The sequence below is a fragment of the Homo sapiens genome, chromosome 9, assembly GCF_000001405.40.
Source record: "Homo sapiens chromosome 9, GRCh38.p14 Primary Assembly".
NCBI classification, from domain to species: Eukaryota; Metazoa; Chordata; class Mammalia; order Primates; family Hominidae; genus Homo; species Homo sapiens.
Window position 1 is genome coordinate 108,639,030 of NC_000009.12, and position 25,038 is coordinate 108,664,067.

The 25,038-nt window shown below is 41.6% G+C and overlaps 1 annotated feature.

Annotated features, from left to right (window-relative positions):
* Nucleotides 23,821-24,377: an enhancer, noted in NCBI's record as "NANOG hESC enhancer chr9:111425130-111425686 (GRCh37/hg19 assembly coordinates)". NCBI's record gives its function as "activates a minimal SCP1, AML or CMV promoter by ChIP-STARR-seq in naive H9 embryonic stem cells {active_cell/tissue: H9 hESC(naive)}" and the evidence as "EXISTENCE:reporter gene assay evidence [ECO:0000049][PMID:30033119]".

Genomic DNA, 25,038 nt, shown 5'->3' on the forward strand with positions numbered 1-25,038 from the left:
TACCCTTTTACTTGGCTATGACTTTATTTTTGTGGAGCATGTAGAAGATATTTAATTTATTTCAACGAATCCCCTATGTTTGCCAATTAAGTTCTTCCAACAAATCCTCTATTACTGGTTACTTAACATTTCTAATGAATGGCCTATTATCAGATATATAGCTATTTCATTCTCTCCTTGTCACAAAAAGAAGGAAGCCCAAGAACTACAAAATCACCCTTGTAATGTACCAATACTGGACTTATCTGGGGAAAAAAAAAATGATGATTGTAAACTTTTCATTTTTTTACCAAATCATCATTCCAGCCACATCACTGTGTGGCTGACTCTCTTCATCAAATGGCTTTGGCCAAAATGTTTTCAGCCCTATCACCCAGAATCCTGACGTTCGAGTTTCACGTTCACTTTGGGGAGGATCATAGAGACCAGGATAAAAGAGCTAGAAGAAGCAAAGAATACGGAGCAATGTTGAGACGCCTGTCACTTTAAAGCTGTCTGTGTTTCCTGAGAACATTCGGAGGTATGAAGGACTACTACCATTACAGAAAAGTCTCCACAACCTCATTCTCCTCCTCCCTCCCTCTCCTCTCCCTTTCCAGACAACAGCCCAGAATAAACAGCCACCATTATGTCCCGACAGCCTGAAAACTTAGAACACCTTCTCCTCACTTCATTATGTTAAAGTTTCTATATTCTAAATATCCTCCTTCATACTGCAGTGTCTGTTCTACCAGTTATGAAGCTTTCAGCTGCCAGTTACCCTGACTCAAACAGACTCAGGAAATAGCTTAAGAGATATGGAAACCAATTACTTCACTTAAGAAAGTCCAGAGATCAAGCAAGCTTCTCAGAGTTCCTCGATTCTATGAAACAGCAGAGCCATCAGGAACTCAGATTTTTCTGTCTTCCCACTCTTCAGCCTCCATGTACAAGCTTCGTGTTCAGACAGCTGTTTGCATGGTTGGAAAGTGGCTGCCAACAGCAACCAAGAAAACACATTTCCTTATTCACGCCCAAGCAAAGACAGAAAGGAAGCTGCTCTCCCAACCATAAAATATAAGCCTTCCATCTAGTCTTATTTGACCAATTTAAGATACACCTTCCACCCAGAACCAAAAACAGTTGCCAGGAAAATTCCATGTGCTGATGGGCCTAGACTCAGAGTAACTAAACTTCACCCCCTACAGCTGGAAATGAGGCTTCTGAATAAAATAAGGGTTCTCTTAGGAAAGGAGAAGGAAAGGCCTGCTGAGTAGATAACCCACAAGTCCAGTATACCCATGCTGCAATTCCCTCCTACAATCCCTTCATTCCATATTGATTAAATTACCCAACTAGTTGCTACCTCTCCGCCTCTCTGTGTTTTGTCATTGAATTATAGTATGGTGGTGAAGAGTTCCAAAATTCCAAGGCCATGCTTCACCCCCACAGTTCTGCCTTTTTCTTCCTCTGCAAAGAAGCTTTATGAGCTTCAGGACATTATTTGATCTTTCTGTGCTTATCCCTACAGCTGTAAAATGGGATAGTCATAATCCCTATTTCATGGGGCTGTTATAGTAATTCCAAAAGACAGTCCATGAAGTACCTGTCATATAGTAATGGCTTAGTAAATGTTAGCTTCTCTTATTAATATTAGTAAGTTAATTGAACTTTAAAAAGTGATTGACCTTTCCAGTGGTTCTGAAAGCATACTCCCCACCATCAGTAAACATCAGTGTTACCTGGGAACCTATTAAAAATACAAATGTTGAGGTTCCCCAGCAGACCAACTGAATCAGAAACTCTGGACATGGGGTCCAGAGTTAACAAGCAATCTGGGATTTAACAAGCCTTTCAGTGATCCTGAGGCACACTCAAGTTTGGGAACCAAGGCTCTACCTCAACTCACCTCCAGTCAAACTACACCAGTCACTATTCCAAGAAAATGCTTCAAAATCATTAGCCAAGATACTTTTCTCTTGTTCTTTCCTCTCCCCGGGATGTTCCCACTACATCCCTATGGTCAAAGCTCAACCCAAATGCTACCTCAAACCACTATCTCTTCTATCTGGGATGCTTTTCCCCTAAATCTTTGCAGGACTGGGTCCTTCTCATTTCCAAGGTCTCAGATCAAATGACACCCCTTCCCAGAGACCACCGAGTCTTTCTCTGTCAAATCACACTGTTTTATTCTTTCTTATTACAGCATTTATCACTATATATACTTGTTATTTGTTTGTTTACTGATTTCCTGCCTCCACCCACTAACACATAAAAATTGCAAAGGCACAGACCTGGTCTATTCACCATAATATAGATCCTTAGCACCTAGAATAGCCTTGAAAATGGTAGACATCCAATAAATATTTGTTGCATGAAGGAATTGATGAAAGCACAGTGAGCTTTTTGTAACACCAACATAAAGGCCAACTGAGCTATATCATGCTTCTCACATGATACAAATCATAATATTATGATTCTAATTAGTAGACTCAGTCTTTACTCTGATGTCATAGAATGACAGCTCCAAGTGGTATAGAAGGCAAGAGGCCCCAGTTCTTCCCCCACCCCATTAGCGGATAGGAAGCCAGCCCTACAATTGTGTTCACTCTTATTTGTAAACTATTCAAGCCTTTCCCCATGGTCTTAGTGGTTTATTTAATTGCCTGACAACTCAGAAAGTTCTGCCTCCACATTGAGCCCTATTTCCTGACATCCTGATGTTTCTGGAGATGGAGATCAATTTTTCAATTTCTACCTCTTGATAATTCTTTATGAATGTAATGTAAGTAATGAAGTCAATCCTCAGCTTTCTCTTTTTTTCCTGTGGAGACCTGTCCAGATTGTTTCCATTATTTATAAAATAAAGAAATTCAAACTGGGAGCAAGGATAAGAAGGATTCAGAACATTTCTTTCTTTTTAAATTAGAGGTGCTTGTGAGCTCTGCTGCAGTGACAAGAGGTGAAAATATTCCCAACTAGGGGCAACTCCCCACTTAGCCACTTATGAGCTGCGTACTTGGAACAAGTTGTTTAGCCTTTTTGATCCTCACTTTGATCCCTCTAAAATGGGACTTGTTACTCCTCAAGATTTTTGCAGCTATCATGTGAGAAAACATACATGAAGGTGAGTAAAATGTAAAGTGCTTTCTGAGCATAAGTCATTATTTAAAAGGAGAGTGCTTTTCATTGCTCTTTAAAAAGCCAATAGATGCAAAGGTCATTATTGACTCTATTTTGTACAAAAAAAGAAAAGGTAGCAACTGTGAGAACACTAACTCATCCCCATTAGCTCTTTCCAGGTTCCACCTATGATAAAAGCAGTGCCCATGCTCACAGTCTCCTTCAGTTCATTGTCAAGACACTGCATGCTATTTGCTGACCTTCACTGGAAAGTGGTTGCATCTGATTTCCTGAAAAGAGTTCTCTCACAAATCAAGGGGAATCAGAATGAAGACTGTTAGTTGCAAACAGTAGACTCTTCTGTTAATAAAAGAGGTTCTTCTTCATGGTAAATGTAGTGGCCATAAGAACACACTACTACAGGGAGCACAACTGACCAAGGGTCCCTGGCGCAAAGGCTGGGCTCTGAAATCCATCACCTCTTCATGCTGAGGCCTGAGGCTCATCCCAGCCTCAGGGTCATCCCGGCCAATGACTGAGCTCCACGAGGATCCCTAGGCCTCCCCATTCCTGAAAGATCCAAGATGCAGGACTCCTCTACTGGTTGACTTTGGTTCAGGGTTGTGACCTCTTGCCAAACCGTCCCAGATTGAAGACTCTTGCGCCCAACTTTCCTACCTGTTGTTCCTACCTCTCCATTTAGGTTATACCTTCACCAAGGGCTGATAGCCTTCCCCAGCACCCATCCCTTTTTCTCTCCTAAGTATTCCCCCTAATAAAATCCTTGGCATCTCTTACAGGTTATCCAGATAACCCCGTAAACAAAGCAAAAAAGAAAACATCCACTTTTTGAAGAACTTTTGCATGTACAATTACATCTAACCGTTACGAATATACAATAAATTACACAAAAGGGAAACCCTAGTCCCAACTGTTTGGATGAGGAAATCAGTTAAGTAACTTAGCCAAGATTAATTACTTTGGTATTTTAGTAACTTCTCCATTTCATAGTCTTCCATGCTCAGTCTTCAGGGGAAAAGGAAAAAAAAAAAAAAACTTACAATTTGCTTTCTCTTTTTATTATTATGTATCTGTTATGAACAACAATAACACAATTTATTAAGCAGGTGCTGTGTAAGTGCTTTGCATATAATCAATTTTTAATTTAACCCTCACAATAACTCAGAGAAGGAGGTGATATCCCTTTTTTACACGTAAGGAAGCAGCTTTATGAAGTAATGGGCCCAAGGTCACTCGCCTACTAACTAAAGGAGCTAGGACCAGCACCATGACTCCTAATCTAGTGCAATTGACATTAAAAATAATTATGTCACAGCCGGGCGCAGTGGTTCATGCCTGTAATCCCAGTACTTTGGGAGGCCGAGGCAGGAGGATCACCTGAGGTCAGGATTTCGAGACCAGCCTGACCAACATGGTGAAACCCCTGTCTCTACTAAAAAATAATAATAAAAAAATTAGCCAGGCCTGGTGGCAGGTGCCTGCAGTCCCAGCTACTTGGTAGGCTGAGGCAGGAGAATCACTTGAACCTAGGAGGCAGAGGTTGCAGTGAGCTGAGATCACGCCACTGTACTCCAGCATAGGCAACAGAGCGAGACTCCATCTCAAAATAATAACTCAAATACGCAGAGCATTTTACTACACACTTCTGCATCCATTAGGAAGTGGGATGGGTGCTCACCAGTGACCCCCACCCCACACACACTCTTCTTTGGAATAAACTAGAGCTAGGGAAAGGAACAAGGCTGATAGGAACTGACATGGCATAGGCAAGGATGAGGATGACTCATCTCCTCCCAACTGCTTTAACTCAGGTTGCAGAAAGGTCGCTTGTGGCCATGTGTACTCCAAGGGATCTTATTTTAAAGAAAGCGTGAAAAGCAAGTTTTTCTTTAAGAGATTTCCACAAATACTTTTCCAAATAATTCTTTTAAAATGATTAGGAGACAAAACTCAGCTCCCTACCACCTACCAGCCATACAATGGGGAAGAAAGCATTTGTCACCTAAGGTTCTCCCTGATCCATTTCTTGGCCACCTTCACAGCTTCCTGTCCCCTAATGCTCTGTTTCTCTTTCTGCTTCAAACCAACAGCATCCATACTGTGCTGCCATGCTTTGGCCGTGCAGTTTACTATCTGGTTCAACCTCCTCCCATTCCTCTGGCTAACTCTTCCTCATTTCTCAAGAACTCAACTCAGCCACCATATACTTCAGGAAGTCTTGCTCAGCACCCAAGCTGAAAACACCCAGAAGACACCCCTCCTCTTCTTGCTCCCCACAATCCCAATGTCTAGAGCATCTCAACATTTACCTTACTGTGTTGAGTTAATCTCACACTAGAGACAAACAGAATCATCTCCTTAAAACACCAACCATAGCACATCACTCTGCCCCACAGGAGGTTTCAAGAAGCATCTTCTGCAGGTAAGAGAAGAGCCAGGCTCTGTGATGTGGTATTCAAGGTCCTAAATGGCCTGGTCCTTGCCCTTCTCTCCAAACTGTCACTTTTGCCCTTGCTTACTGTCATACCACTGTCCACGTTCGGATTCATTCACATGCCAAACCCCTTCACACCCAAAGACGTATTTATCTCCTCAGCTCTTAGCAGAGTTGTTCCTTTTAAATCTCCAGTCTTTGCTTGAATGCTGTCTTCTTAGAGATGCCCTCTAGTACCACCACTAGAACTATCATTATTCCCTCTCACTGTTCCCTAATTCTATTATTTTATTTTATTTTTCTTTTTATTTTATTTTCAAGACTGGGTCTCACTATGTTGTCCAGGGCTCAAACTTCTCAGCTCAAGCAATCCTCCCTTCTCAGCTTCCCAAGTAGCTGGGATGACAGAATCATCTGCTTAAAACACCAACCATACCACACCACTCTGCCCCACACCCCACCACTCTGCCCCGCACCCAGCTCCTAGTCCCTTTCTTCATTGTGGTTTTGGAATTTTATAATTGATGTATTTGTTTGTTATTTAAATCTTTAATTTGGTAGGAAGCATATTCTTAAGTCCTTGTGCTCCTTGAGAGCAAGGATTCAGGATTATTAAATTGTACCCCTCTGGGGGGCCTGGTGATCTAGTGTGTCCTCAAATTTGCTGAATAAATGAATGAAGAAGCAAAGTTGAGGCAAGACGTTCAAAGACAGGGAGTCATAGAATGACAGATATTTGTAGAAATTAAATATTACTGTTAGTTTCCATAATGACCTATGTTGAAGGAACTCTGAGTGTGTTATAAATTAATTTGAGCTCTATTCACAGGAAGAACTCATTATCTCTGACTTGTAAGCAAAGAAAGTTAAGCCAAGTGAAGTGACTTTTCCAAAAGCAATATAATGAGCTAAATAGGGATCTTGGTCTTGACTCTGAATAAATGTATTTTATACCCTGTCTCATTCCCAGAGGATTTGAGGTGGCTTTGAAAGACACAGACAGTTACACAATTTAGAATGTCCACAAAAACAAAACAAGCCAGTTGCTCAGGAGAAGCATGACTATTCCTGGTACAAGGTCTGAAAGAAACTTCTCCCCTGGGTCCTCACAAATGGTAGCAAACCACATCCTCAATCATCCTCCTGGACGTGCAGCAGCGGGGCTCGCAGGGTTGTTTGCTAGCATTCCGCAGTGTGGGCTGATGGCGCAAGGCCAAGGCTCAGATCCGTGGAGCAATTCTCCAAGGAGCCAAATCAAGACAGCCCAGGTGTGCAGTTCTCTGATGATCTGTCTTAATCCAAAAAGAACATCTGGAGATTCTGGAGGAATCATTTAACAGCACACTCTTCACGCTGGGCTCTATGAATTTTATTTCTCACACTAAAACCTCTAATAAGCATTAAGTAATGGTGAATTGAAAAGGACAAGCATCCGGAACACAGTCGATGTTGAGGGACTATGGAGAGCTCCATATGATGTATCTGTCAGATGACCTGAAAAAGGCTATATTAGCTAGTGTGCTGGTTGGGCTGCTATAACAAAGAGACCCCAAAATACAATGGCCTAGATATAACTGAAGTTTATTTCTCATGTTAATAGGTCAAGTGTAGGAGGGTCATCAAAGGCAAGTGGGCAGCTCTACTCCACAAGGTCATGTAAGGGTCCAGGTTGACAGTGTGCCTCTGCCATCCTCAACATGCAGCTTCCTCTGAATCCAAGGAAGCATCTCTGGCTGTCACCATTTTAGAGCCAATAGAATTAAATACAGAGCATGAAAGGCCAATAGCTTCCTTATAAAAATGTGATCTTAAAGTTGCACACATCAATTCTGTTTGCATCCCATTGATCAAAATTTAGTGACACGACCAGACCTAGCTGCAAGGAAGACTGAGAAATGAAATCTCTTACCTTGGTAGCCTCATACCCACCTATAATTTAAGGGTGTTATATTACTACCAGGAAGAATGATAGAGTAGATAAGGGAGACCATAAGAATCTGTCATAGGGAATTGATACCTACTTAAAGAAAATTCTACCTGGAGAAAAGGCCAACCCACCCCTAGCCAAGTGAAGTAAAGGCAGACACCTATTCCAGGTTCAAGTTTGCTACATTCACTTGTTATCGCCAGTACCAGACAATGAAGGATCAAGACCCCCAAGTTCTATGTCATATGCGTGGTTATGCTCATTTTAGGGGGGAAAAATTTTACAGCTGTTTTCAAGTGCCAACAGTGACTGTTAAAGAATAGTACCCCCATATAATACCAAATATTAAGAAATGCCAATTCCCTGTGAACACTCCAGATTGTTGCAAAATGTATGAAGGTAAATTAATCAAGTAACAGATGAATAGGATTCTTAACTCTAGGCTGTGTAAATGCTGAAGGGCTTTTACCAAAACCCAGGAAATTTACCTTGGAATAGTTGATCTTAGGCCCTTCTTTCTGGATGCCATTAGATGACAGCATCAGTTTGTCTACTGAGGCATTCTTATTTTGAAACAAAAAACATGAGGTCACCACAGTGTTACTCTGTCAAGTAGGGTAGAGAGTATACGTTCATCTTATCCAAATGGGATTTTGCATTATTATCATGCACGTTTATAAAAATGGTGCATCAGGATACCTCACTTACGCCATGGAAAATCATCTCTTCCCTCAAGGGACTGCTACTATCTCTGCTGACTTCCATGGTAATATTAAGGTTTAGATTCTATGTGAGCATTAGTCTACATGGGATATAGATTTTCTTCCCAAAGAAATTTATGTCTGTGGACTGAAAATTTATGAAAAAGTCAATAAAAGCTATGACTCTTGGTTTGCTCTAATTCTCTCTACAAGGTGGCAAAGAATCTAATGGCCAACAGTGCTTAAAGCTGGCATACTCCTCATGTAATAGATTTGGTCTAAGAAATCCATATGTGCACTTTGTCAGAAGCAAACAGATACTTATTCTAGACATCAGGTTGGCAAACATCCAAATGTATAGTTTGGGAAAAGTAGGTGAGAAAAGTAGAGAGTCCATAGTAAATATGGAGTGGACTACATACTATCAGTAGGCATGCTTTCAAGAACTAGAATGAACAGCCGACAGCAACCCTGAGTAATTTTCCTTAAATGTCAATCAGTCTCCTTCCAACCGTGGTCATCCCAAACGGGATGTCTTCATATGTATACATGTGTGTGCATATGCATGTGTATGTAGGTGTAAGGAATGATGCACCCAACAGAGCTAGGTTCTAGTCAGGCACAATTTGATAAGGGGAGACAGAAAGGAGAAATAATACCTATTGAGTATCCCTATGCGTCAGAACGATACTATGTCATTTATCTTTGTTTTGTTTTGGGGTTTGGAAAGGGGTTGTTTTTGATTTTTTGGGTTTTTTTTTTTTTAAGTTTTTCCACAAAGCAACCTTCTACTCTATTATCCTGGTTTTCATATTTACTTCTCATAAGAACCATGGGAGGCAGGGATTATGATCACTGTACTAGAAATAAGGAACCTAAATCATAGCAAAAAGGAAATGACCTGCCCAAGGTCATGCAGTTCATGGAGAAACTGAGATTGAACTCAATCTGACTGCACAACGCATGCTCTTTCAAATACACCCCACTGCTGAGCTTTGATTCTGCTTACTCCCCACTTACTGTGGGCACCACAGTTCTGACTATAAATGGTGCATGGGTCTACCTAGTTCAGGTAGTGGTACCTGAAGGGACTTTAATTCTATGAGGGCTTTGCTAGAATTTAGCTTTCACAGGAATAAAGATTGGGTCTGTTTTATTTGCGACTATAAGATAGAACCTAAAATAGAGCATGCGCTCTCCAAACGGTTTGTTTTCTAACGAATGAAGGAATGAATGAGCATGGTTACTTCTTTATAACAAGGAGGCTATGCTATTTTCAGAGAATTTTCAGTGACTCTACCTATAATTTTTTAGATCTCAGCTTGGATCTCTTTAATATACAAAGCCTTTCTGCAATGTGTTTCACAGAAATCCACAAGTGTCCTTTTTATTATTATTGTTATTCCTGATAAACTGTCCTATATTGAGCATGTACTATGTTCCTAGTATTGTTCTACGTACTTACATGCATTATCTCATTTAGTATCACAATAACCCTACAAAGGAGATACTTATTTTATTCATGAGAAAGCTCAGGTTTTGAATGATTCAGTAAGTTGACCAAATGTTTCATAGAAGTTGGCCCAAAATTGCCTAATTCCAAAAACCAGTGGTGGACCTAGTAAATTTGACATCTGAAACAGATCATTTTATGAAACGTTCCCTCTATACAATAAAATTACTTTTAATAATTACCACTGAATAATTATTTTCTTTATTCTTTAGCTTTAAAACAATTAACAATTCAAAAGAAGGATAAATTTCCATTTTAAGCATATTAGGCAAAACAGTAGAATATTTCAGATATGGACCAAAACTTGTACGTAATACACAAAAATATTACACCTCACAGTGAACACTCTGTCTCACTGTTGCAAATTTCCAGCACAAATACAACCTCCAAATGGTCGTGTAGACTAAAACAATTGATGTAGCTTAGATTTTGCTTCTTTATCCTTATAATAACTGTGCTGTCATTATTTATTTCCAACCTTCTGTTTAAACAACAGAATAGGTAGTGCTACAGGCGTTAGAGACATAAAGCACATCTGAAACAACCACGAAAGATTCCAAAACGTTATGAACTTACCCTCAAAACCAATGCATGTAGCTGAGTCCTTGTGTCCTGAACACCAACTGTATAACTAGGAGTTCTCCAAATTAACCTTCATGTAGAAAACAATGGACATAAAAGCCTAAGATATAAAACTGTGCTAATATGAAGCTTGTATATTATTAACAGTCATCGTAGTAGTTGTTTAAAACTTAGAACAAGAAAAGATTTTCTCATGGAGTGTTTTATCATTGGCATTGAGATTTTTGAGTGCATGGTGATAATAAAAAGCAGACTGACTTTTAGTCTGTTTTATTATTGCTTTTAAATCCTCTACAGACCACGCACCTCATCCTCACCGGCACCTCAGGTTGACCCCTCCATCAGCATCACCCCTGCCCTTGGTAAATCACTGCCAAGGGATGTTCTTGGTCTCCCTGTCCTGTTTGCTTTCACTATCTATGCCTTGAGCTCCTTTTTATGAGTCCTTAAACATGTGCAAATCTCAAAATGGAAGGAAAACTAATTTCTCTCCAAATTAAGCCCTATAAAGACCTTCTTGCTATTAGAAAAAAAGAATAATTGCTGGCCTCAGCCATCTTGAAGATCCACCACAAAAAAAGCTGCCTCATTGTAGCAGCTAGAGTGAAAAATTGTCTGTTCTGCTGCCTAGTTGTTTCACGCCTTCTTACCTGTGAGATACAAGCATAAACTAGAATGATCTGGAAAAGTAGCAAAATCATTATATTCACTTTTTATATAATGTAAAACAAAATCATCATTCATGTACTTTGCTAACGACTGAACAGTACCCCTGAATCCGTCTGAAAATACAGCTTAACATAAAATATTAAATGGACCACAAATTCAAGCTAAGATGGAAAAAGTAGGAATAAAAAGGGATTTAGACTGATGTAGAGTAATCAGGAGGATTTTGTGGGGAAAAAATAGTTTTGCTTTAATTATGTTTGCATATTATATGGTATCATATATCCAATATCACATATGTTAGAGAAAATTCCTAGTGTTTATATGGTCTCAAGTAATATCTCATAAATGAATGAATTTATAAAATAAATATTATTTACACGGAGTCAGAATATTTTGTCATCTGTAACTCTTTCTTCTAATATGACTCACCTAAATTGCAGCCCAATTATAATATTAGTCTTCAGGGAAATTTAATCTCTTGACAATCTTCTTTACTAATCTTCATTAATCCCCACAGTAAACTGAGATTAGTTAATAGATCATTAACTTGCCTATTTTGAAAATGGCAATATTGAAACATGGTGATGGGGAGTCATGCCCTTGAGTGCCTCAGGGTGGGTGACAAGAAAGGAGGTGAGGGCGGATCCCTAAGACTTGCTGTCACCAACTAGGAATGGAGCTCAGGGAGGAGTCAGGAATCTCAGGTGTGAAAAGCACCTCCAAGCGCATCCAATATCATGTCCCCACCAGAGCCTTCAGCCTCCATCAGCAACACCTCTGAGAACAGTGAGCTTACCACCTCTTGAGTTGGATCATCCTACTTTTGGACATCTGTAACTAATTTTCTTTAAGTCTTCTTTATGTCAAGCTAAACTCTGTTGCTTTACATCTTCTACTCATTGTCCCAAAAACAAACAGAACATGTCTAGTCTTTCTTCCACCTGAGCTATCTACAAAAATATGAAGGCAGTTGACTGACCCATTTCTTTCAACTCTTCCTAGGGTGCTTTAGTCTCAGATCTACTCACCACCCTAGCCACCAGCCTTGTCATAACTTGCCCATCAGGAGGGAAACTTTAGTGGTTAAAGGCACATCTCCTATAAAACTGGACATCAGACGTCCGAGAATCTCTGCTCTAGATCTTCCCAGCCAAGCCAACTTGCAAATCATTTTCTAGCAACCAAAGTGATCTTGTGTAAGGTTACACTGATTTAGACCATGTCCTGGAGAACATAAAATATAAAGTGGCTCTTCAGCCAGGGAAGAAGGAAGCTCTGGTCAGAGGCCACCACCTTATTAAAGAGAAGAGAAGAGTATTTTTCTCTAAAAATCATTTTGCATATCTATTTATTATAATACATAAATATTGTATTTATGTATTATACAAGTGATGTGTATAAAAATTAAAATGAAAAAACACCCTGAATTTCATCAGCCAAAATACTTTTTTCATTTTTCTATTTTTCCCACCAATTACTGCCCACGTGCATAAATATATTTACATTTTATAATCATAATATAAATATAATTTTGGATTCAGCATGTTAAATCTAACATTATACGTTTTATCCATCTTGTTTCATGGTCTTTACATATCATAATGGAAGCATAACGTCTCTCAGAAAAGATAGATAATAATTTACTTCATTATCTGTTATAAGGCTTTTAAAGTCATTTCCAAAATGTTCTTATCATAAACAGCAGTGCTACAAACTTCCTAATGCTTATAGCTTTGTTATTCTCAAGAATAATTTTCTTGAAACAAAGTACCACTGTCCTCATTTTACTGATTACTAATCAAAAAGGATAAGCATTGTTATGGCTCAAAAATATTCTGAAAATGAAAATTAGTTTTTAAATGGACCTGTTAGCCCTGTAAGGTCAGAATCTCTATCATTTACTGGGGTTCTACCACACATAGACTCTGTCCTGAGGGAATTAAGAGAACAGTTCAATTTAACATTCAGTGAAAACTAAGAGGAAAATGTTGCTTTACCCATGTGGGAGAGAAGAGGAAACAGGTTTACAGAAATGACATAATTTGTATGAGGTCACTAAGCTAGAAACATTGAGAGACAATATCATCAATTTAGGGTTGAGGATTTGAACTCAGGTTTTTGTTTGTTTGTTTGTTTGTTTTTCGTTTTTTTGTTTTTTTGTTTTTAAGAGACAGGGTCTCACTCTGTCACCCAGGCTGGAGTGCAGTGGCATGATGATAGCTCACTGCAGACTTGAACTCCTGGTCTCAAGTGATTCTTCCACCTCAGCCTCCCAAGAAGATAGGACTCCAGGTGTGCACCACACACCTGGCTAATTTTTTAAATTTTTGTAGAGATGACTTCTTGCTATACTGACCAGGCTGATCTCCAACTCCTAGGCTCAAGTGATCCTCCCACTTCAGCCTCCCAGAGTGCTGGGATTACAGGCATGAGCCACCACGCTAGGCCTGAACCCAAGTCTTTCTGGCTTTAAAACCCACACTGTTAACCACTGTTCTAAACTGTCTTCGTGGGTGAACTGCCACTCATCAGAAAATCCAGGAATGATAGAAATAACCATCAGTCCTGCAGCTGGAGAGGGAATAGCAGGACAAATACCTTGTACCTCACAGGAGTCAATAAAAAGTGATTCAACTGAAGAGGGTGGGAGTTCTGGCTCTTTGGACCTCTTTGGTCCCTTCCAACCTGAAGCTTCTCTAGTCCTTGCTTCTTGTATTTCCAATCTATAATTTAATAGGATTGTCTTTTTGGTAATTCTACATCCAGTAGGCAAGGTTTAAATCTGGTGTTTTGGAATTGAGATGCAGGATAGAAACGGAAAAGCCCAGGCAGAGACAGGAGATGTGCTGTCCAGGAGGAGACATCCCCCTCCTACCTGCTTTCCTTCCCCACCAAATCCACTGGCTGACACAGGGTGCATTCAGATTGCAGGGGAAGAGGAGGCCGATGGATGAGGTGGGGACAGAGGGAAACGAAATGCCTGTGTGTTTGCTTAAACCCATATTAAACTAACCAGGTATGCAATGTCTTTGCATAACCCTCTTACTAATAAACACATGAGCAACTAGATTGCATCTGGAATTTTGCAAAATAAAATAGAGACAGTCCCTGCCCTCAAGGGACTCCTGGTCTGAATTCCACACAAAAAAAATGCAAAATTGGGCTATGGAGGCAAGCCTGGCCAGGGAGACAAGGCGATGACCAGAGGAGGTCACCTGGGAAGGAAAGTTTGGGAATCCCCAAACTTAAATTGGAGCCCTAGCTCTGATTCCCATCAGTGAAATAAGACTAATTATAATCACCAGGCAAGACTGTGGTGCATGAGCATTAGGTGAAATAAGTATAGAAAAAGGGCTCTGTAAATTATGAGGAAATATGTGAATATAAGCCAAAATAAGACTTGAGGATTGGAAGTAGAATTCCCATGAACATGTCCTCTTTACTCTGTGGATTGATAATCCTCACACCTTCCCTTAGCTCCATTGTTAATTCTTTATTAATATTCATTGAGTAGCTGCCCACTACCTGCCACCCACATGTACATGCATTAACTTTAATCCTCCCAAAAAACTGCCAGGTAACCACCATAATTCTCAATATACAGATAAGAAAACATGGCTCTGATGAAGATAATAGATTCATAACTCATTTTGCTCATTTCATCATCTTTTCATAATTAGTCTGTTTTTTGCATTTTTTATATACCTCTATGAGAACGTTGACTTTGGGTATCAAGATGCCAGTCCAATTCAATAATTTACTTTATTTCAGTACTTCATTGGTTCAACCAATATTTACCAAGTGCTTAATCAGGTGCTAGGGATGGTGCTAGGTGCAGCAGGTATCATGTTATGCAGAAAAGAGAAGGTCTTTGCTCTTTCAGAGCTCACATTCTAGATGGAGAAGACAGATAATAAATGAGGAAACAAATACATCAACATGATACTATCAGGCAGTGACAGGTGCGATGAAGAAAATTTAAATGAATACTTGAATCATGACTAAGAGAATGAAGTTGTCATTTCCCTTACTAAAAAGTTTATATTTCCCTCAACAAAACTTAAAATGGAGTGTATATGATGCCATTCATCTCAGTTCTTCTGCTAAAGACAAATGATCCAAGGGCCAAGGTAAATGCTTCCTGTTACTGAGATAGAGTGACATGTTACTGAAAAGGAATTATGCACATCAGAAGTGCACAATTGCATCCAACAATCCTCTTTAAGACATTCTTAGTCATTTGCACCTCCTGTCAGGTGGACCACCAGCCTGAGGCTATGGAGTAAAATGGAGACAATTCGCAAAGTGTTCCTGTCTCCAAGTTCTATAGCTGCAGTGTAGTTAAATCCCACATCGCTGAGTATGATGGGGTCTATAACCTGCATGTTTCATGTAAGGAACACAGCCATGTAGGTAGCACTACTGTCAGAAATACAACTGGGGCACTCCGAGCCAGTATGAGAGGGAGACAAATATCATGCAAGATCATCTTAGGGAAGTGTCCATACTCATACCAATTCTTGGCTAAGTCTTCTTGGTTTATTACCACTGAAAATTTGTTTGGTTTAGTTGATTATGCTGTGAAGCATAATATGTACTACAATTTTCTGTGGCTTTCTAACGATCAAGATAAATTCCAAAACATCAAGTGTAGCTCCTAGGCTATGACATACGCAAATCTTCCTGATATGTTGCCAACAGAATGCCTAAGATAATGTGATTACTGTCTTTGAAGAGAATAATTCAACTTGTTTTTTCTTTAAAAAAATTACTCTCAATAAATAACCCTCCCTGAGAGTTTACTACTCCCTGGGTGGGGAAGTAAAATAGCAAGAGCAGAGTCTTTGGAGCTTAGGAAATCTAGGTTGAGACATATCTCTGCTATTTCCTGGGTGAGTCATCTTCTATAAGCTACTTATCTTCTTTGAGACTCTGTTTCCTCATCTATAAAATGGGGATAAGAATGCCCATCAAGCAGCATTTTTGTAAAGATTAAATAAAGGAATGGGCATTCACATATATCATAAAAAACAAAACCCTGGCCTGGCACAGTGGCTCAATCCTGTAATTCTAGCACCTTGGGAGGCTGAGGTGGGTGGATTGCTTGAGGATAGGAGTTCAAGACCAACCTGACCAACATGGTGAAACCCCATCTCTACTAAAAATACAAAATTAGCTTGGCGTGACAGCACACGCCTGTAGTCCATGCTACTCAGGAGGCTGAAGCAGGAGAATCACTTGAACCTTGGAGGCGGAGGTTGCAGTGAGCTAAGTTCGTGCCACTGCTCTCCAGCCTGGGCGACAGAGCGAGACTCCATCTCAAAACAAACAAACAAAGCAAAACTTCATCTAACTGGTTATGGTTACTAGAGGGGAGCCCTGCTGCAGACAGGATAAGGTAAGTGGGAATCAGAAAGCCTCCACAGGTATCTGTAAACTTTTTTTCAACCTGAAAAAGCAGGTCATTTAGGCCTTCTAGCAGGAAAGAGAGCACAGTCTCTGAGCTCTGCTATGTTGAGCCTCTCAACTTTAAGTTAGGTGCTATGTGAATCATCATAAGCACTGAGCAAATATTTCACTCATCTACTCATTCATTCATTCATTCATTTTTTTCCATCCATTATTATATATTTATACACTCATTCAATAAGTCTACTCTGAGCCTAATACTGTATCAGGAACAGTTCAAGGGCTGGGTTCACAGTTCAATAGGGGAGGCACACGAGTAACTCGGTGATTGCAGTATTGTGCACTGTGACTAGGTCAATAACAGCAATGACAATGATAATGATAAGAGTTAACTCTGTTGGCCAGGGTCCTGGCTCTAACAGCAGATACTGACTCTGGGTAATTTCAGCAGAAAAAAAAAAAATTATTGGGGAAAAATACGTTCACAGAACTGCTGGGAAGCTTGGAGAACCAGACGGAGAAAATGAGCAGAAACTAAGAGTCCACACAGCTGGACCACAACCGAAATTGCACCACAGGGAAGATCTGGTGAGGACACTGTGGCTGGTCCTTCTTTTGTGGCTGCTCCGGAAGAGAGGCTGTCCTTGCTGCTGCCAAATTCAACAGAACAAACCCCTCCAGGGTGCAGCGAGATGTGAAACGAACTCACTGAGGCAGGGGAATCTGATGAGCAAAACCCACACTCTCATTCTCAGTGCAGAGAAAAAGCCACATCTGGCCTTTCGGCTTTGATGGTGGAAAAAAGTGTGACTGCCTTCCAGGACTCAGCCTCCAAATATCAGGATGGGTTTCTGGTGCCAGGCAGCCAAAGGTTTACTGAATGCCTCCCATGTGCCAGACACTGCACTAAACAACTTGCCTACACTGTCTCATCTGACCCTCACAGTAGTCTTCAAAGATGGATGCTTTGCTACCTAACTTTACTGAAAAACAGACTTGGCAAAAGGAAGAAACTTGCACAAGTTTGTACAGCTAGTAAGTGGCAAAGCCCTAACTGATGCCATTTTTGATAACTGAACTGCACTACACTACAAAGAAGGAAAGAAATGCAAAGATCCTCAAGAGCATAGACAAGAAGGCTCTGGATCAGACAGGGAGTGAAGGAAGACCCCACGGAGGAAGAGAGGTGGCCACGAGATGGAATTGATGAAGAGCTGGTTAGATATTGCAGGGCAGTGTGTGGGAATTGAGAGTAGGGGCCCTGGGGCTTAGGAAATCCCAAAGAGATGAAACAACAAACATATGAAGCGAGAAAGTGGCATGAAACTAACTCAGATTTCTTACGACCAAAGGTCTTTTGTTCATGCAATACGGTTGGAGAAAGGAATGCAAAAAGACAGGGTGTGAATGGGAACGACAGTGCCCCAACCTCAGGCACATGTTTGTGCCTGGCATAGAATCCCAGAAGAGATTCCAGGGCATTTCAAATTATAACAATTTCCCATATCTCATCTCAGGCATCAGAGAGTGACACTGGCATTCTTTAATTCCTTTGTCTTCACTGAAAAAGTAGACAGAATGAAGTAAGCAGAACATCCTGATAACTTTCAGCACCATCCTCCTGGGCCAATCCCATCCTCCTACCCCCTAGAATCTACAGAGTGGGGAGTTTTCCAGGAGCAGCAGGAATTCCAAAAAGGGAGTGCTCCACTTGTAATCCTAAGTACTGGATGATGAGCCAAGTGTTTATTGAGAGTAATCAGTGACCACCTCTTGATAAGTCTGGCTAAGGTCAGGATTCACGGAAACCTTCTTGCCCCGGGCAAGATCAGCAAGGAGCCTGCTGACAGGATCCTTGTTCACTTAGCCTAGGCCATTGTACCAAAATCTCACTCCTCATTAGTGCTGGTGTCAACTCAGTGGGCAGGTATGGCTAGGTCAAGAGAACCTTGTCAGATTAAATTTTCAAGCGCTTCACTTTTTTCTAAAGATAAACATGTATGTTTTTAATTTCATGTAGAGTTGTATATTAACAACTGAAATGTCCTGAAAACCCCATTCTTTCCTTCTATTTAGCATCAAGACACATACACATTCAGCCCAAGTTTTAGCAGAACATACAGCCACTCCACCAGAAACACATTTTACAGATTCACTGGCAGCTAGGTATGCCTAGGTAACTAAGTTTTCTCCATCTTAGGCAGGTAATAAGTGACAACCTCTGGTTACTTTCTTCAGAGCAAATTGCTTGCCTTCCATTCATTCTCTTTTTTCCTTAACCAAGGGCTGGAACATGTATATGATATTGACTAGTCAGTGACTATGCAGATGAGGAGAACATTCTGGAAGATGGTGGAGCATCAATAGAGAAGGAACCTGTGTCCCAGAATGACTTCAAGAAGCTACCCACCTCTCTTGTACCATTTATCTACCATGGGACTGTTATTTAACAGTAATTCAAATATGGTAATTTTATTTAATCCACTGTGTATTTGGGTTACTGTATAGCAGCTTAGCTTTTCCCTAACTATATAGGATTGATCTGAGGGTAATGACAGAAAGTAGGTGTTTTTTGAAGACAGACCTAGGTTCCAATACCAGCTTTCCCACTAACTAATCATCTACAGTCAGCTAGCCACTCTGGGTCTCATTTTTTTTCACATGAAAAATGGGTAAATAATAAGAAATTTTAAGGCTGTTAAAAGGATTATAAATAATGAACCTCATACAGTGCTGGTATACAAAAGTGCTAAAGTGCTAAAATTGCTACTTGTTTTTAAAAGAGACAGGGCCTCACACTGTCACCCAGGCTGGAGTGCAGTAGTGTGATCATGGTTCACTGCAGCCTGGAACTCTTGGGTTCAAGTGATCCTCCCACCTCAGGCTCCCAAGTAGCTGGAACTACAGGCACATGCCACCATGCTGGGCTAATTTTTAAATTTTTCCTAGAGAGAGGGTCTTACTATGTAGCCCAGGCTGATCTTAAACTCCTGGCCTCAAGCGATCCTTCTGCCTCAGCCTCCTAAACTGCTGGGATTACAGGGGTGAGCCACCGTTCCTAGACTACTGCAAATAGCACAGTGCCCTGTGGCATCCAACTTGGAACCCTCTGACTATGTTAGAATTCTCAGGCTCCAATAGCCTATGAACAGTGATATGGTTTGGATCTGTGTCCCCACCCAAATCTTATGTCAAATTGTAATTCTCAATGTTGTATGGAGGTGGGGCCTGGTGGGAGATAATTAGATCATGCGGGTGGATTTCTCCTTTGGTACTGTCCTCATGATAGTGAGTGACTTCTCATGAGATATGGTTGTTTAAAAGTGTGTAGCTCCAGCCATGTAAGATGAGTCTGCTTCCCCTTTGCCTTCTGCCATGATTCTAAGTTTCCTCAGGCCTCCACAGAAGATAAGTAGATGCCAGCATCATGCATCCTGTGCTGCCTGCAAAATCATAAGCCAATTAAACCTCTTTTCTTTATAAATTACCCAGTCTCAGGTATTTCTTTATAGCAATTTGAGAACAGAGTAATACAGAAAATTGGTAATGAGGAGTGGGCATTGCTATAAAAATATCTGAAAATGTACGAGCAGCTTTGGAACTGGGTAACAGGCAGAGGGTGAAAGAGTATGGAAGGCTCAGAAGAAGACAGGAAGACAAGGGAAACTTGTCTTTGGAACTTCCTATAGACTTTTTAAATTGTCACCAAAATGCCGAGAGTGATATGGACAATGAAGTCCAGGCTGAGGAGGTCTCAGATGGAAATGAGGAACTTATTGGGAACTGGAGCAAAGGTTGCTTTTGTTATGCATTAGCAAAGAGGTTGGCTGCATTGTGCCCCTGCTCTAGGGATCTGTGGAACTTTGAACTTGAGAGTGATGATTTAGGGTATCTGGTAGGAGAAATTTCTAAGCAGCAAAGTGTTCAAGATGTGGCCTGGCTGCTTCTAACAACCTATGCTTATATGTGTGAGCAAAGAAATGACCCCAAATTGGAACTTATATATAAAAGAGAAGTAGAGCATAAAAGTTTAGAAAATTTGCAGCCTGGCCATGTGGTAGAAAAGAAAAGTCCATTTTCAGAGGAGGAACTCAAGCAGGCTGTAGAAATTTGCATAAATAAGGAGCCAGCTGCTAATATCCAAAACGATGGGGAAAGGCCTCAAAAGCATTACAGGAACCTTTGTTGCAGACCCTCCCCTCACAGGCCTGGAGGCTTAGCAGGACTGAATGGTTTCCTGGGCCAGGCCCAGGGCCCTGCTGCCCTGTCCAGCCTTGGGACACTGCTGCCTGCATTCTAGCTACTCCAGCACCAGCTGTGGCTAAAAGGGGCCCAGGTACAATTTGGGCTACTGCTTCAGAGAGTGCAAGCCATGAGCCTTGGCAGCTTTCATGTGGTTTTAAGCCTGCGGGTGCACAGAATGCAAAGTTGAGGGTTGCGATCCTCCACCTAGATTTCAGAGGATGTGTGGAAAAGCCTGGATGTCCAAGCAGAAGCCTGCTGCAGGGGTGGAGCCCTCATGGAAAACCTCTACTAGGGCAGTGCAGAGGGGAAAAGTGTAATTTGAACGCTCACACGCAGTCTCTACTGAGGCACTGCCTAGTGGAGCTTTGAGAAGAGGGCCACCATCCCTCAGACCCCAGAATGGTAAATCCACTGATAGCTTGCACCCTGAACCTGAAAAAGCTGCAGGCTCTCAACACTGGCCCTTGAGAGCAGCTAAGGGGCTGAAACCTGAAAAGCCACAGGGGTGGAGCTGCCCAAGGCCTTGGGAGCCCACCCATTGCATCAGTGTGCCCTGGATGTGAGACATGGAGTCAAAGGAGATTATTTTGGAGCTTTATGATTTAATGACTGCCCTGCTGGGTTTTGAACTTGCATGGGGCCGGTAGCCCCTTTCTTTTGGCCAACTTCTCCCTTTTGTAATGGTAGTATTTACCCAGTGCCTACAACCCCATTATATCTCAAAAGTAACTAACTTGCTTTTGATTTTACAGGCTCATAGGCAGAAGAGAACAGCCTTGTCTCAGAGGAGACTTTGGACTGTGGACTTTTGAGTTAATCCTGGAATGAGTGAAGACTTTCAGGGACTGTTGAGAAGGGATGATTGTATTTTTCAATGTGAGAAGGCCATGAGATTTTGGAGGGGCTGAGGCAGAATGATAGGGTTTAGATCTGCGTCCCCACCCAAATCTCACGTCAAATTGTAATTCTCAGTATTGGAGGTGGGGCCTGGTAGAAGGTGATTGGCTCATGGGGGCAGATTTCCCCTTTGCTACTGTCCTCATGATAGTGAGTAAGTTCTCATGAGATCTAATTGTTTAAAAGTGTGTAGCACCCCCTGGCAACCTTTTGCTCCTGTGATAGCCACGTAAGTAAGCCTGCTTCCCCTTCACCTTCAGCCATGATTGTAAGTTTCCTCAGGCCTCCCCAGAAGCTGAGCAGATGGCCAGCTGCATGCTTCCTGTACAGCCCGCACAACTGTGAGACAATTAAACCTCTTTTCCTTATAAATCATCCAGTCTCAGATATTTCTTTATAGCAATGTGAGAAAGACTAATACACAGAGTCAAGTTCATCTGATGAAACATGAACTCAATCAGCTGACATAAATTTCATTAAGCTTTTGAACAGCCTTTCAATTTGATGTTTGCCTCTCTGCAAATAGAATGTGAGGGACACCTCCCAACCTAAGAAGAAGATGGGTCTGAGACCACTGTGCCCCTGAGGGTGCAAGCACTGTGCCTGCAGTCCATGTTTTAGTCAGGAACTGCACCTTTCACTTCTGTGGTGTGACTGAGGCCAGTTCACCAGATATGGCTGTCTAGGTCTCGTTTAGGTGACAAACTTGGTTCAGATAAGAGGTCACATGGAAAGACTTTATCATTAGCTCTATTGCCCTCTTACATTTTTGCCAAGAATTTTCCATATTTGCAGCCAGGAGGCAGCAGTCACACCCTAAGATACTAGCAGCACACCCAGGCCAATTTGTCCATTCTATTCATGAAACTCAAAGCTCCAAACACTGTCAGTGATGATGAGAAGTGTACATTCTCATTTCTGGAGAGTCCTTCAAATATCCTTGTACCATCTGAAGCATGGGCACTGAAAAATCCTCTTGTGGGCTGTTTTCCCCCCTCACCCGCCCACCCGGCCCCCAAGAGAGGCAACTGACTCTTCCATCTGGAGTCCTACGTCTATCAGTTAGAACAAACTCTCTTCAGCACATAAATTCCAAGTAACAACCTGACTAAAACTAGATTTTTCCTTAGACCTCAGAGAAGCCAGTTGCTTCTACTCATATAAGAGGTTGGATATAAGAGTTCATTGTTTGCCATTGGTACTCCGGAGTGAATTTATGCTGCATACATGGTCAACATTTTAAGTCAAACTTCCTCATGCTCATGGCTAGAAAATTTATACATAAAAAGATCCCTAATTCCAGCTTGTCCAAAGGTCTTCCATGGAACTGTACAGGGTAGGTGGGTGGACTTCATGCTGGCAGTAGAAGAAGTTAGCTCCAGGCACTTCCCAAGGTCACCTGGTGAGTCGATGGTAAAACCATGGTCTCACAGCTCTCCAACCAAAGTGCCCAGCATGCAAGGCATGGCTGCTACTCCGGATGACAGGCCATCTGTCATGTTTCTCCTTGGCTTATCCATTTTCAAGGGCCAAAACCATGACAGCATTCATACCAACGCCTCATTGATGGTGGCAAGCACCCCACAAGGTCTTCCACGCAAAGGGTGAGAAATGTCAGTTCCCATGAAAGGAGAAACTGCACAAAACCCAACCACACAGAATCATGTATGCCATGAGGTCAGAGGCCAGGAAGGTATGCATTCTCTGTGGAACGTCTGAACTTGCCAGATCTTGGAGAAGTTGGACTTCTCCCAAGGAGAGTTTTGCCCCAACTCTTGATAACTGTCAGCATGTCTCACAAAAACAGGAACTCCCAAGATAGAGAAGCCAAGCAGCTGGGAACCATTAAGAATAAAACTTGAGCTGCTGAATAAAGCTGGAGACTGGGTGATTCTTCTTCTCTGAACTACAACCTGCAAACTTTGAGAACGGAGCATCATTTATTGTGGGCCTGCTCTGGGCCTGGCTCTTAGCAAACTTGAGTTTATGGAGGGAGCACAACGTAGTGCAAGGTTTCTCAATGGAGACACTACTGACGTTTTGGACCGAATGAATGCTTGTTGTGGGAGCCTGTCCTGTGCATTGTCAGATGGCTAGCAGCAACCCTAGCCTCTGCTCTATAAATGCCAGTAGCACCTCCTCCCAACAGTTACAATAAAAATTGTCTCCAGGCATTGTGAAATGTCCCCTGGGAGGCAAAATCATCCTCAGTTGAGAACCACTACTGCAGTGGCTAAAAGTACAGACTCTGAAGTCAAACAGCCAGAGTTCAAATCCTGACTACCCATTTATCAAGTGACCTTACATTAACTTCTCTCTTCCTTTGGGGTCTTAACTGAAAATATAGTCAATGTTAATACCCACTCATAGGGTGGTTTTGAGGATTAAATGAGACATACTCATGAAGCACACAGAATCAAGCCTGGCATATGGAGAGTCCGTGTTCAGATAGATATTATCATCCTCATTTTTCCGAAAGGGAAAGTGACAACTCAGAGAAGTGAGTAAGAGATCCCCAGCTAGGATGCGACCATAGGTCTGTATAATTCCTAATGAGTTCAGCAGCCATTGAGTGAGCTGTTGTCATGCATCAGGCCCTGCTTTGAGCTCTGTGGCTAAAGAGGAAACAAGAGACAATCCCTGTGCTTAAGGAACTCCAAATCCAGCGAAGGAGGCAGGCATGTGGCCTGGTTTCAGTAATGCCTATTGCAAGCTATGATAGGGAGAAGCTAGGTGCTGTGTGTGCAGAGATGAGGTCTCTGCCCTAGTCCAGGTCCTGGAGCAGAGGACACCCAAATGAGGTCCTGAAAGACTCCAAAGCTCTTTCCACTTCAGCACACTGCTTATTTCAACAGACAAATGACAGACAGCTTTCAGCAATGACTGCAAAACTGCCCCAATACATGAGATCTGCAGTAAGTCTAAACAGGGACACCAGCCTCCAAGTATTGCTGGAAAGGAAAGAAATCACAGAGTTTCATGGAGACTGAGTCAGAGCTCTTCATTCAAAAGCACTTGACGGGTGGGTGGGTAGCTGTCCCATGCCTGGAGTCAATGCATTCTTCAGCAGTGTGGTGAGAGAGTTAGCACAGCCAGATCACCAGCACTGGGCTCTTTGCTAAATTTCAAAGACAAATTAAACCTTACTCAGCATGAATAGGCAGTGATAATGAATAACTAAAGCCAAGTGGCCACAACAGCAGGTCCTTTTCCTTAAAGAACCCGATGGCATAAGAAGGGACAATGATCCTAAAAGAGAAACAAAAGGGTTTCACAAGCAGAGATATTTTAATAGCCCTATATTTCACTTAACAAGCTGAATGCTGAAGGCACACATTCATATTTCCACTGGTTGTGTTAAATACCTGCATCATGGCTATGTCATCCTGCACCTGTACAGAACCCCAATCGTTTGGACCTGTCCTGTATGACAGGCCCAGGCCCCTGCTAAGAAGGTGGCAAGTGGCAAATCCCATGGCAGTTCTTTGGGAACAACATGCACTGCCACCTCTTTTCATCAATCTCAGATAGGGAAGAA